This window comes from Homo sapiens, chromosome 16 (genome assembly GCF_000001405.40).
Source record: "Homo sapiens chromosome 16, GRCh38.p14 Primary Assembly".
NCBI lineage: Eukaryota > Metazoa > Chordata > Mammalia > Primates > Hominidae > Homo > Homo sapiens.
The window spans coordinates 56172892-56188511 of NC_000016.10; the positions used below are offsets into that span (position 1 = coordinate 56172892).

Genomic DNA, 15620 nt, shown 5'->3' on the forward strand with positions numbered 1-15620 from the left:
ATATCTGCCTTTTAATCAGAGTGTTTATCCCATGTACATTTAAGGTTAACCATTGATATGGTTAAATAAGTCTAACATCATGCTATTCATTTTCTATTTGTTCTATTATTTTATCTCTTCTCTTTTTCAGCATACTTTTGGATTATTTTTATTATTCCACTTTATCTCCTTTGTTTATTATCTATAACTTTTGTTTTGCTATTTTAGTAGTTGCTTTAGGGTTTATAGTATACATCTTTAACCTATCACAGTGTAACTTCAAGTGATACTGGTTTATATAGAAGATCCCTAAATTATATACTTCCATTTCTCCCCCCTACTTTTTTTGTCATATATTTACTTATGCTGTAAACTCCATTTTGTCATATATTTTACTTATAATATTCACTCCACGGCACATTATATGGTTGGTGCAAAAGTAATTGCAGCTTTTACTATTAAAAGTAATGGCAAAACCTAAAAATCGAAATTGCTTTTGCACAACCTAATATTATTTGTTGTCTTTTAAAGAGGTTTAAATAAGAAACGTAGTTGTCATTTCTGGTGTTCTTTATTTCTTTCTGTAGGTACCTATTTCCACTGGTGCTATTTTACTTCTGCCTGAAAGACTTTCTTTAGAATTTCTAGGAGTACAGGTCTACTGCTGATAAATAATTCTGTCTTCTATGTGTGAAAAAGTGATTATTTTGTCTAGATTTTTGAGAGAGATTTTCTCTGGGTATATAATTCTAGGTTGAAAGTATTTTTCTTTTGGTATTTTTCAGATATTGATCCAGTCTTATCATTTGTAGCATTTCCAAAGAGAAATTGGTTTTAATCCTTATCTTTTTTCTCTGTACATAATGCATCCTTATTCCATAGCTGTTTGTAAGATTTACTCTTTATCATTGGTTTTGAGCAGTTTCATTATAATGAGACTTAGTGTAGTTTTCTTCAAATTTCTTGTGATTGGGGTTCACCATTGATATGGTTTGGCTCTGTGTCCCCACCCAAATATCACCTTGAATTATAATAATCCCCACATGTCATGGGAGGGACCTGGTGAGAAGTAATTGAATCATGGGGGTGGGTCTTTCCCACGCTGTTCTCATGATAGTAAGTTTCATGAGATCTGATAGTTTTATAAAGGGGAGTTCCCCTGCACAAGTTGTCTCTTGCCTGCTGCCATGTAAGATGTGACTTTGCTCCTCATTTACCTTCTGCCATGATTGTGAGGCCTCCACAGCCATGTGGAACTGTGAGTCAATTAAACCTCTTTCCTTTATAAATTAACTAGTCTCAGGTATGTCTTTATTAGCAGCATGAGAACAGACTAATGCAACCATGATCCTTGGATCTATGGATTTGTAGTTTTCATCAAAATTCAAAATTTTTATTATTTCTTTATTGACTCTTATTTTTTTCCTGATTTCCCTTTGGGAACTCTAATTATACATACATTAGCTGGCTTAAAGTTGTCCCTCACTGCTCTTTATTTTTAAACAGCTTTATTGAGATGTAATTCACATACCATGAAATTCATTCACTTAAAGTGTACATGTTAATGGTTTTTAGCATATTCAGAAAATTATGCAACCATCACTACTACATAATTTTAGAATGTTTTTATCACTGAGAAATCCCATACTCATATTTCATTAGTTTTCCATGGATACCACAACAAATTACTGCAAACTTAGTGGCTAAAGCAATACAAATGTATTATCTTGGACTTCTAGAGTCAGGAGTCTGAAATGGTCCCACTGGGCAAATACCAAAGTGTCTGCAAGGCTGCATTCCTTTCTGGAGGCTATAGAGAAAGACTCATTTCCTTGCCTTTCCTAGTTTCTAGAAGGCACCCACATTTCTGGGCTGATGACCCCCACTTCCTCCATCTGCAAAGCCAGGAACACTGTATCTAATTATTAACATTTTTCTCTCTGACAAATCCTGGGAGAAGTTCTCTAGTTTTTAACAATTCATGTGATTAAATATTCAAGTGGATAATTCAAGATAATCTTTTCATCTCAAGGCCTGTACACCTGATCACATCTGTAAAGTTCTTTTTGTCATGTAAGGTAACATATTCACAGGTTCTAGAAATAAAATGTGGACATCTTCTGCCTACCACACCCACTAGCAGAAACTCCCTCATCCTCCCCCTTTCCCACTCTAGGCAACCACTAATCCACTTTGTTTTTATAGATTTGCCTATTCTGGACATTTTATATAAATGGAATTATATAATACCTAGTCTTTTGTGCCTGGTTTCTTTCACTTAGCATAATGTTCTCAAGGTTTATCTATGTTGTAGTATGTATCAGCACTTCATTTCTTTTGGATAATATTTCATTGTATGGATATGCCACATTTTATTCATCAATTCATCAACTGATGGACATTTGGGTTGTTTCTACTTTTTGGCTTATGAATAATGCTGCTAAGAAGATTAAGTTTTTATGTGGACATATGTTTTCATTTTTATTGGGTATACAATTAGAAGTGGAATTGTTGTACTGTAAGGTATATTTAATTTTTTGAGGAACTATCAAACTGTTTTCCAGTTTGCTGGTAGGCAGTATCATTTTACATTCCTAGCAGCAATTGATGAGGGTTCCAGTTTCTCCACATCCTCAATAGAACTTAAAATTGTCTTCTTTTTTATTATAGCCATTCCAGTAAGTGTAAATTGGTATTTCACTGTGGTCTTGGTTTGCATTTCCTTACTAAGAATGTTGAGCATCTTTATATGTCATTACTAGCTATATGTATATCTTCTTTGGGGAAATGTCTGTCTATTCAGACCCTTTGTCCATTTTTAAATTGAGCTATTTATCTTTTTATTATTGAGTTATAAGAGTTATTTATATATTCTGGATACAGGTCCCTTAACAGGCATATAATTTAAAAATATTTTCTCCCAATAGGAACACTTTTACACTGTTGGTGGGAGTGTAAATTAGTTCAACCATTGTGGAAGACAGTGTGGCGATTCCTCAAGGATCTAGAACTAGAAATACCATTTGACCCAGCAATCCCATTACTGGGTATATACCCAAAGGATTATAAATCATGCTACTATGAAGACACATTCACACATATGTTTATTGTGGCACTATTCACAATAGCAAAGACTTGGAACCAACCCAAATGTCCATCAATGATAGACTGGATTAAGAAAATGTGGCACATATACACCACAGAATACTATGCAGCCATAAAAAAGATGAGTTCATGTCCTTTGCGGGGACATGGATGAAGCTGGAAACCATCATTCTGAGCAAACTATCACAAGGACAGAAAACCAAACACCACGTGTTCTCACTCATAGGTGGGAATTGAATGAGTACCCTTGGACACAGGGCGGGGAACATCACACACTGGGGCCTGTCAGGGGGTGGGGAGCTGGGGGAGGGATAGCATTAGGAGAAATACCTAATGTAAGTGATGAGTTGATGGGTGCAGTAAACCAACATGGTTTACATGTATACCTATGTAACAAACCTGCACGTTGTGCACATGTACCCTAGAACTTATAGTATAGTAAAAAAAATTTCTCCCATCTGTGGGTTGTCTTTTTACTTTCTTGATGGTGTCCTCTAAAGCATGAAGATTTTAACTTTGATGAAGTCCAACTTACCTATTTTTCTTTTGTCACTTGTACTTATTGCGTTGTATCTAAGAAACCAATTGCCCCAATAACAGGAAGATTTATTCCTATGGTTTCTTATGAGATTTTTTTTTTTTTTTTAGTTTTAGCTCTTAAATTTAGGTCTATGATCAATTTCGAGATATAATAATTTCAGCATTTGGTGTGAGGTAGAGGTTCGATTGATTCCTTAAAATGTAGGAATCTAGACTATTTTTTTCTCTGTCTGATTGTCTTGATATCCTTGTCAAAAATCAATTGACCATAAAAGTAAGGATTTCTTTCTGGACTCTTAATTCCATGCCATTGATCTATACATGTCTCTAAATAGCTTTCCTTGTGCCAGTATTACACTGGCTTCATTACTTTAGCTTCACAGTACATTTTAAAATCAGGAAGTGTGAGTCCTTAACTTTGTTCTTCTTTTTCAGTATTGTTTTGTCCATTCTGAGTCCCTTACAGTTTCACATGAATTTTAAGATCAGCCTGATAATTTTTTTAAAGCCAGCTGAGATTTGATAGAAATTGCACTGAATCTGTAGATCAACTTGTGGAGTATTGCTTTCTTAACATTATTAGTTAAGTCTTCTAACCCATTAACATGAGATGTCTTTCCAATTATTTGGATCCTCTTTAATTTATGTCAACAATATTTTGTAGTTTTTTTTTTTTGTTTTTGAGGCAGGGTCTTCTCTGTTACACAGGCTGGAGTGCAGTGACATGATCAGGAGTCACTTAGCCTTGACCTCCCTGGCTCATGTAGTCCTCCTACCTCAATCTTCCCAAGTAGCTGGTACTATAGGCATGTGCTACCACTCCTGGCTAATTTTTTAATTTTTTTGTAGAGACAGGGTCTCAACATGTTGCTCAGGCTGGTCTCAACTCTTAGGCTCAAGCAATCCTCCCACCTCAGCCTCCCAAAGTGCTGGGATTCAGGTGTGAGCCACTGCAGCTGGCCAAATTTTATAGTTTTGAATGTATTAGTCTTGCATTTCTTTTTCTAACTACTTTTTAAATTGATGAAAATTATATAAATTTATGGTGTACAACATGATGTTTTAAAACACATATATATCGTGGAATGGCGAAATCAAGCTAATTAACATGCATTACCTCACATACTTCCCATTTTTAGTGTGATGAGCACACTTAAAATCTACTATCTTAGCCATTTTCAAGTATACAATACATTGTTACCAACTATAGTCATCATGTTGGACACTAGCTCTCTTATATAAAAAGGATACACTAAGATCAAGTGAGATTTATCCCAGGAATACAAAGTTGGTTTAATATCTGAAAATCAATGTAATATGCTATCTTAATAGAAAAAAGAACAAAAACCACATGATCATTTCAACTGATGCAGAAAAAGAACTGTTGGATTTTGTGAAATGCCTTTTCTGCATCATTTGACCAAATCCCACTTGATCATTGTGTATCCCTTTTATACATGGCTGGATTTGGTTTTCTAATATTTTGTTCAAAAATTTGCATCTATATTCATGAGGAATACGGGCTTTAAGTTTTCTTATGATGTCATTGTCTGATTTTGGTTTTCTGGTGACATAGATTAAGTTGGGAAGTGTTTCTTCCTGTTCTATATTTTGAGAGTTTGAGAAAGATTAAAATTGATTTTTCCCAATTTTTTATTGTGGTAAAATACATATAGCATAAAATTTATTATCTTTTTTTTTTTTTTTTTTGAGACGGAGTCTCACTCTGTCGCCCAGGCTGGAGTGCAGTGACGCAATCTCGGCTCACTGCAAGCTCCACCTCCTGGATTCACGCCATTCTCCTGCCTCAGCTCTGGAGTAGCTGGGACTATAGGCGCCCGCCACCACGCCCAGCTAATTTTTTTTTCGTATTTTTAGTAGAGACGGGGTTTCACCATGCTAGCCAGGATGGTCTTGATCTCCTGACCTCGTGATCCACCCGTCTCGGCCTCCCAAAGTGCTGGGATTACAGGCGTGAGTCACCGCACCTGGCCAACAATTTTTAAGTGTATAGTTCAGTGTATTAAATGCATTCATAATGTTGAGCAATCATCATCACCATCAGATCATCTCTTTCCATCTTGTAACACTGAAACTCTATACCCATTAAACAATAACTGCCCACTGCCCATTCCCCCCTCTCCCTGGCTCCTGGCAACCACCATTCTCCTCTCTGTCCCTGTGATTTTGCTCTGTGATTCTGACTACTCTATTTACCTCATATAGTGTAATCAGATAATTTGTCCTTTTGTGACTAGCTTATTTAATTTACCATAATGTCCTCAAGGTTCATCCATATTGTAGCATATGTAAGAATTTCATTCCTGTTTAAGGCTAAATAATATTCCATTCAATGTATATACCACATTGTGCTTATCCATTCATCCATCAATGGATACTTGAGTTGCTTCCACGTTTTAGCTATTGTGAACAATGCTACTATGATCATGGGTGTATAAACATCTCTTTAAGGCCCTTTCCATTCTTTTAGGTCTATGTTGAGAAACTGAATTGCTGGATCATATGTTAATCCTATTTTTAATTGTTTATGAAACTGTCATACTGTTTTCCACAGTAGCTGTACCATTTTACATTCCCATCAAGAGTATATAAGGTTCCAATTATTTCCCAACCTCAGCAATACTCGTTATTTTGTTTTTCTTTTAATAGTAGCCATCTTTATGAATGTGAAGGTGGTATTTCACTGCAGTTCTTATTTGCATATCCCCAGTGAGTAGTGATGTCGAGCATCTTTTCATGTGTTTATTGGCCATTTGTATATCTTCTTTGAAGAAATACCTATTTAAGTCTTTTGTCCATTTTTAATCAGGTTGCCTTCTTGTTGAGTTTTAGGAGTTCTCTACATATTCTGGATATTAATGCCTTATGAGATATATGATTTGAAAATATTTTCTCCCATTTTATGGGGTGCCTTTTTACTCTGTTGATATTCTTTTGATGAACAATTTTCTTAAAAAAATTGGGTTTTTTAAAATTGTTTTTTAAAAAATTAAGAGATCCCATTTGTCTATTTTTTGTTTTGTAGCCTGAGACTTTGGTGTCATATCCAAGAAAACATAGTTACATCCAACATCATGAAGGTTTGCCCTGCTTTCTTGTAAGAGTTTTACATTTTTAGATCTTAAATTTAGGCCTTTGATTCGTTTTGAGTTAATTTTTGTATGGTGTTAGATAAAGGTCCAACTTCATTCTTTTTCATGTAAATATCCAGTTTTCCCAGCACCATTTGCTGAAAAGAATTTTTTTTCCCTATTAAATAGTCTTGGCATTCTTGTCAAAAATCATTTGACCATATATATGAGGACTTATTCTTGGGCTCCCTTTTCTCTTCCATTGTCTATATGGCTGTCCTGATACCAGTACCACACTGTTTTGGTCACTGTAACTTTGGCGTAAGTTTTGAAATCAGGAAGTGTGAATTCTTCAGCTTTGTTCTTTTTCAAGATTGTTTTGGCTAATCAGGGTTCCTTGAGATTCCATATGAATTTTAGGATGAGTTTTTCTATTTCTGTAAAAATTGTCATTAGGATTTTGATAGGGATTCCATCAAATCTGTAGATCTTTTAAGCAGCATTGACATCTTAACAATATTAAATCTGCAACTGATTCTCTGAATGTTTGGAGGAATTCACCAGTGAAGCCTTTTGGGTTTGAGCTTCTCTCTGTGGAAAATTTTTTATTACTAATTCAATCTCTTTATTTGTTATAAGTCTATTCAGATCTTTTATTTCTTGAGTCAGTTTTAGTTGTTTATTCATTTCATCTAAGCTAATTTTTGGCATTCAATTATTCATTTATAATCTTTTTATTTTGCTAAGGTTAGTTTTACAGTTTTACTAATGTTAAGTTCATAATAATGTTATGACATTTAATGTTTTAATTATGTAATGTCATGACATTTAATGACAATTAATGTTTTACTAATATTAAGGTTAGTAGTAATGTTTCCTCTTTCATTTTAGGTTTAGTAATTTAAATTTTCTCTTTTATTTCCCCCTGGTCAGAAAAGCTAAAAGTTTATCTATTTTGTTGACCGTTTTGAAGAACCAACTTTTAGTTTCATTAATTTTATCTACTGTTTTTCCATTCTGTATTTCACTTATTTCCTCTCTAATCTTATTATTTCCATCATCTGCTTACTTTGGGCTTAGTTTGCTCTTCACTTTAAGTTTTCTATGATGAAGATTAGAATATGGACTATTTTTTTCTTATTTAATATAGGCATTTACAGCTATATATAATATAATATTAATATAGGTATTTATAGCCACTGCTTTAGCTGAATTCTACTGGTTTTGGCATGTTGTATTTATATTTTCACTTATTTCATTGTATTTTCTAATTTCTCCTGTCATATCTTCCTCAGTCCATTGATTATTTAGGAGTGTGTTATTTTTTATATATTTGTGAATTTCCCAAATTTCCTTCTGTTATTAGTTTTTAATTTAATCTCATTGTGGTAAGAGATACACTTTGTTGATTTCAATCCTTTTAAATTTATTGAGGCTTATTTTGTGCCCTAGCATTGGTCTAGCCTGGAGAGTATTTCATGTCAGTTTGAGAAGAATGTATATTCCACTGCTGTCAGGTGGAGAGTTCTATAGATGTCCGCTAGGCCTAGTTGACTTATATATTGTTCAAGTTTTCTATTTCCTTTTTAATCTCCTATATAGTTATGCTATCCATGATTGAGAGTGGGATACAGAAGTCTATTATTATTGAATTATTTTTCCCTTCAATTCTGTCAGTTTTTGCTTCATATATCTTGGGACTCTGTTGTTATGTGCATATACGTTTACAATTATTATATGTCCAACTGTTATATCTTCCTTTTATCATTATAAAATGTCCCTCTTTGTCTTTAGTAACAATTTGTGTCTCAAAACACAAAACAATTTGTGTTTTGTCTGATATTAGTATAGCTCCCTTACCTCTTTTGGTTACTGTTTGCATGGTTCTTTTTTCCTCATCCTTCTAGTTTCAACAGATTTGTATCTCTGAATCTAAAGTGTGCTCTTGTAGACAGCTTATAGTTGTATTATTTTTTAATACATTCTGCAAATCTCTGCCTTTTACTTTGCATATTTAATCCATTTACATTTAATGTAATTACTGGTATAATTTATGTCTGCCTAATTTAAAATTTTCTTTTTTCTCTGTGTATTCATTCTGGATAGTTTGTATTTCTATGCCATCAGGGTCATTAATCTTTTTTTCTTTAATATCTAATGTGCTATTGACCCCAGCTAGTTTATTTTTTATCTCAGATATTACAGTTTTTATCTCTAGATATTTAATTTGGGCCTCTTTTAAAAAATATATTTGAAGTCTCTACTCACAGATATAATGCAGTTATAACTTCTAATATCTTTGTCTTCTAATTCCAACATCTGCATCAGTTTTTAGATGGATGGATTACCTTTCTTAATGTGGGTCAGATTTTCTTGGTTTTCTGCATGCCCAGAAATATTTATTTGGATCCAGTCACTATGAATGTTGCCTTTTTGGCTGCTGGATATTTTCATATTTTTAAAAAATATTCTTGGGTTTTGTTTCAGGACATGGTTAAATTCCTTGGAAATAATTTGATCATTTTGAATCTTGCTTGTGAGGCAAGACCAATGTATAATAACATTTAGTCTAGAACTAATTATTCCCCACTACTGTAGCAAGACCCTTTTGAGCACTCTCTCCAATACTTTATAAATTAGGAGATGTTCGGGTCTGGCTGACATAAATAGGCACTATTATTAGACCTGTGTAAGTGCTGTCACTGTTCCCCCTAACTCTCTTTGATGGTTATTTCCCCAGTCTTTAACAGTTTCCTCATATGCATGTGCCAATTATTAATTGGAATACTCAAAAGATTCTCTGCAGATCTTTGGGGGGCTGAGGCGGGAGGATCACTTGAGCCCAGAAGTTGGAGGTTGCAGAGAGGCAAGATCGCACCACTGCTCTCCAGCCTGGACAGCAGAGTGAGACCCTGACTCAAAAAAAAAAAAAGGAAAAGAAAAAAAAATTTTTAAGTTTTTTATATACATACATTAAGCATTTTGTTTTAACCTAAAACATATAAATATACATTCACGAACCAGACTTTTTTTTTTTTTCTTGAGATGAAGTCTTGCTCTTGTCACCAGGCTGGAGTGCAATGGCGCGATCTCGGCTCACTGCAACCTCTGCCTCCCAGGTTCAAGCAATTCTTCTGCCTCAGCCTCTGGAGTAGCTGGGATTACAGGCGCCTGCCACCACGTCCGGCAAATTTTTTTTTTTTTTTTGTATTTTTTTTAGTAGAGACGGGGTTTCACCATGTTGTCCAGGCTGGTCTCGAACTCCTGACCTCAGGTGATCCACCTGCCTTGGCCTCCCAAATTGCTGGGATTACAGGCATAAGCCACCACGCCAGGCCCATGAACCAGACTTTCAGTGAAGAGCAAAGATGTATTCTTCGATGTTATTTGATTGGAGTTCCGATATTCTCTCTACCGATTTCTAAAAAACTTAATTTTTAACTTACAATTGGATAAATTCATAAATCCTTGGTTCCTTCATGCTCATAGCCACTAGTATCTCTAAGGTTATGAAAGCATCATGCTGAATTCCTCCATCCCCTCAATGACACCCTTTCAACAAGTAATAGCAACTAATATTTGCTAACTGAGTGACTGGTAGGAAGTAAGTGAAGAATCAGGAGAACTGTTAGAGCCATACCAGAGAAAATCACAAGAAAGGCAGGACTGCAAAGATCTAGTGGAGGCTGTGAGAAAAGGTAAACCCCTTCTTAAGCTCATCTGCCCCTTTAGTTACCACTGGCTGTCTCACTCCTGGATTTATGTGACTCCCTTAGCTATACTTTCCCAGCCCCCTGGGATGTTCCCCACTCATCCTATTCACCCACAAAGAAATATTGTCAAAATCAATTGGGTGATGATTAGGAGCCATTATCTGCCTGCTGTGCTGAAAAGGATACAGGGCTATCTGCAGAAACCTTTCATGACGGGCTAAAAAAATATTCCAGTATATCTAGGAGTGGTGTCACTTCTAAGTGGGAAAATCAAAGTCAATCCATAGTCTTTTCATACTATTGGCTTGTTACGTTTACAAGGTGTTATATTTCTAAAGCAAACACTATACGAAATATGAAAAATTCATGCTTGACTTAAAGGGAAGAAAAAAGTAAAGGGAACCATTTTGATAGTGGAACAGATATACTCAGATTCAAGGACTGAATAAATAGATTTGTAACATTTTCTTGCTTTGCCCTCTGGAGCTCTGCCTTCTGTAATCTTCCCAGTGTCAGTCCTCCAGGTTCTCTGTCCTCGCAACTCGGATTTAGAATTACGGATAAAAGATGCCTAAAATCCAATTTCTTGATTGAGGAAACTGAGGCCTGGAAAGTGAATTAAGTCTCCCAAAGTTGGCCAGAGACTAAGAGTCTTGTCTCTTCATTCTATCCAGTGTTCTTTTCACTCTGCTGACTTTCTTGGTATTACTTCCCTTCAGTTTTGAAAATTACTTTCATTTATTATTTGTCCAAACCTATTGAGACTAAAGCTTCACATTATATTTAATAGTTGCATATCATCTACTGCCAATTTCTGGTTTTCACCTTTGAGGGAGCAGATGCTGCAAAACATGGAGAATATTCTGATAAATATACACTACAAAGATAATCTATTCTACTTTTAAGAGCTAGGAATGATTTATTGGAATAGATATCATGGGATTGTAAATTCCTGAGTAAAGTTCATTATGATGATCAACAATATCCAACAAAGTAGGAGAAGGATTACTGAGTAAAGTAAAAACCCACTAAAATATGAATAGCATAATTGGTGCCTGTGCTATTTAAAAAAGCAACTGAGATGAACCTTGGATCTTCGGGAAGTGGCATGATGTGGCAGAAAGAACACTGTCTTGGAATTCAGAAAATTAAGGTGTCCATCCTGATTACTCAATTTATGAGCTATGTGATCTTAGGTAAATCACTTGGACTTCTCTAAGCTTAATTTCATTATGCATGCAATGGAAAACAGAAATCCTGGCTATTTCAAGTAGCTGTTATAAGGATTGAATTAAATAATATATGAGAGATTATTACAATTCAAAAATCTGAGACCATATGCCTCTGCATGATGGCAGAGGACCATGTGCGTTGTATTCAACAGTATATTCCCAACATCTAACATAGTGTCTGGCACATGGTAAGCATACAATAAATATGGAAGACATTCATGAATTAAATAAATGAAGATAATTATAGGAAAAAATATCATTCTTATCACTATTTCTTGCTGTGGAAATGTTTATGGGGGGATAAAGCCAAGTACATGAATAGAGCAGAGGCGGGGGAGGCAAGAAAAGGAACAAAATGATTGGTATCACTTCCTTCCTAGAACAGAAGCAGAGGTTACAGAATCAAAAAAAAGAATGATCAAAGTGACCAGTCTCTAAACCTACCCTTTTTCTTTCATTGCCTCATTCACCCCACCTCTCAATCCCACCATTGATTTTTCTTTTTAAGATTGCCTTTGGGCATTGACCTCATTAATTTCAGAGTCATGGTTAAGCCATTGCTTTCAGTGTTTTTATTAAGACCTGTATATGTCCTCTCTGTAGTTATTAGAAACAGTGCTGTTTTTCATTTATATTGGATGTAACTAATTCAGAGTTCTTTCCTCTTAGCCCTCTCCAAAGACTACAATGGCCAGGGGGAGAGACAGTGGACTTCAGGGACTACTTGAGAGGAAAATCAGTATAGTTCATTTCTTTTTACTTCAACTAAAATGACTCTAGGTAAAAGTCCTATGGGATAGGTGCCTGGTTGAAAATGTATCTCTCACTGAGTTGTCCTTTTTTAGTTTTATAGATGTGCTCCATCACACACACAGGAATTTCATAAAAATGTTTTTCTTTGCCACAGAGGTCAGGGTTTTGCAGGCCTTTGGAGAATAGATAACACACCTAAATGTCAGCTCAACTAAAGAACCATGTTACCCGACTGGAACGCCTCAATCTTGGTACTTGGCAGACTTTGGGAACACCTCAAACCACATGTACTTTAGAGAATGCAGACAAGTCACAAAATTAATTCAGTCTAGTCTGGCCAAACACTCTCAATGTACTTCTAAATTTGAACTAATTGATAGCCTCTCCTCCCTCAGTTACACTTGTTATAGCCAATTCAATTGGTTTTAACTGGATTCACATAAAATTCACCTACTTTTTGCTTTCACAAATATAACTGACAGGAACAAACAAAAACAGTTCTATCTGTAAAAAGCAATGCAGTAATAAAACTTTGGACCTTGAAGCTTACAGAAGACTAATGAGATAATGTCTAAAATGTGTTTGAGCTGCATGTGTGAAAGACTCTATGGAGATAGAAAACATGATAAATAATGCAACTAACCTTTGTGTCAGGAAAGCTCCTGTCTTCTGGAGGATATAATAAGTATTAAATAAATATTTTACAAATATGTTCCTGCTAATCTTTTCTGTCAACTCCAGCCCAGGTAGGTTGAAAAGGACTATTACTCCCATCAAAACAAATAAGAATCTTAGTTTCTAATGAAAAGTTTTCCAAGAAAATTCCAATTGGAATCCATGACTTTAGGTAACGCTTTCATATTAAGCCAAGCTTCTGACTTCAATTTCAGCTCTTGGTCCATTTTATTGTCAATGTGAAAGCACTAGTCTTGGCCCCCTCCAACTTTTCACTCTATTCAAGCCAAAGGCATCCCTGTGGGATTCTCTAGCTATCCTAAATTGAAAAAAAAAATCACAAAGCACACCCTCTTTGGGGTTCTTCAACCATCAAAGAACACTCAACAAATTATGTTGTCAACAGTGACCACATAATGGACTTCAATAACTTAAGAGCTCAATTCAATTACCTATAAACCTTAATCTGCTCCTTCATGAAAATCCCTTCACTTAAAAGTACACAAAACCTTTATTTCTTCTTATGACATCTCTTATCCCTAAAATTATAAATAAGAAAACTAATTTTTCATGAATTCTACAAAATAACAAAATGGGACACAAAATTGAGCAAAAAATTTTCTGACGGGAATGTCAAAAACACCTGGCAAACACTCTTCTCACAAGCTGGCATAGGCCTATAAATCTCCCATTTGTTTGTTTAAAATCTGTATCATTTCATTTTTCAGAGCCTTACTTGAAGACAAGCCATTACCTTTTTGAACTCATCCAATCCTAAGCATTTTCTAGAATAATCAAGTAAAAAAAATTCTACCACAAAAATAAAAAAGTCTCAGAGGTGGGAAGAGCTTTGTCACATTGTCTGATTTAGCCCTTGCTAAATCAGCCCTTGTTTAGTTAACAAATATTGAAACTGATGACTTATGGGCAGTGGGCCATCCTTGACCTTTGGGGATATATACAAAGTAATAAGACAACTCTGTCCCCTAAAAGGAGTTTACAGTTTACTAATGTTTTCCCAAAGTACCTGAGTACTTAGGGAGAAGGTATGAATGTAAAAATGAAGATTCCTAAGCTTAGCCTCAAACTTACTGATTCAGAAATTCTAGGGATTAAACCCAGAAATCTGCTCTTTAAAAAGCATCTTGGGTAATTCTTGTGCACAACATTTGAGAACCACCACTCTGGTAGGTCTGAGAGATGTGCACAAGTATGAGTTAGGGAAATGCTGAATAGAAGACTCATCTTTTAGGGACATAAAAAAATTGATCAGCACCTTCCCTCATTAATGCCAGATACAAACTGGAAAAAAAAGAAAAGTCATCTCTTAGCCAAAACCAGACATTCTTCTAAATCATATTCACCACTAAGTTGGATTGTGAGTTATCAATTTTATAACAGAAACACTTAGTGCAGAAACCCAAAATTTCTAGTGACCTACCATTCTCCCTAAAATGCCTAATTCACTGCGTGCATGGGCTCACACCTGTAATCCCAGCACTTTGGGAAGCCGAGGCTGGCAGATCACTTGAGGTCAGGAGTTGGAGACCAGCCTGGCCAACATGGTGAAACCCTGTCTCTACTAAAAATACAAAAAAAAGTAGCTGGGCATGGGCGCTCACCTGTAATTCCAGCTACTCGCGAGGCTGAGGCATGAGAATCTCTTGAACCTGGGAGGCGGAGGTTCCTGTGAGCCAAGATTGCGCCACTGCACTCCAGCCTGGGCAACAGAGTGAGATTCCGTCTCAAAAATAATAATAATAATAATAATAATAATAATAATAATAATAATAAAATGACTAATTCACTGGATATTTAGTTTCATTTAGGTTATGAACCACATATTTTAGCCTATTTTCTTCCCGTGAGAGTAGTATTCATAAGCAATTTTCATAGTTTTTTTCCCTTTCACAGAAATACAAAAAAACTACTAAACATAAAAAAATGTTGAATTTAGAAACATTTGAGGTATCTGGGCTTTAAGAAAGTAAGCTCTTAACAGAATTAACTGGCACATACAGATTCTGCACAAGACCAAACTCTGTACACAGAAAAATCACCTGGGGAGTGGCTATCAATGCAAATGGCTGAAGAATCTGAGTTGGTAAAAGTAAGATGGATAACTGAATTTTTAACAAGCACCCCAGCTAATTCTAATGTAAATTGTTTTGAGAAAACATTCCAGAATTTTCAAGATTTCAAGATTCCAAGCTCATGACATCCCAACCTGTCTTCATGTCTAAATCAATATATTAAACACAGTAGACTGCCAATGCATACATATTTAAATAATTAAAGTAATTTTATATTTAATTAAAGTATAAAAGGGAACAAACAGGGGAAGTCAGTTTACCTAATCAGAGCCCACATTCTGTAAGTCAGAGCTGGGGAATCTTATTGATATAATGAATTGCCCTCCAGATCCAGGAGCCACATGCAGTAAAGGGCTTTGCCGTTGTTTCTTTTAGAGAGTATATAAAATACTCTGATTACCTACTTATAAAATTAAAAATATACTGAATGATGTATGT

General features: G+C 35.2%; 1 long non-coding RNA gene across 1 annotated transcript in view; it reads right to left on the reverse strand.

The window, feature by feature from the left end:
* GNAO1-DT (GNAO1 divergent transcript) overlaps positions 1 to 15620 on the reverse strand; it is a 98108-nt gene that overhangs the window by 79905 nt on the left and 2583 nt on the right. The window contains exon 2 of the long non-coding RNA NR_027078.2: positions 14712 to 14809. This is a non-coding gene — a long non-coding RNA (GNAO1 divergent transcript). The remainder of the gene's footprint in view (positions 1 to 14711; positions 14810 to 15620) is intronic.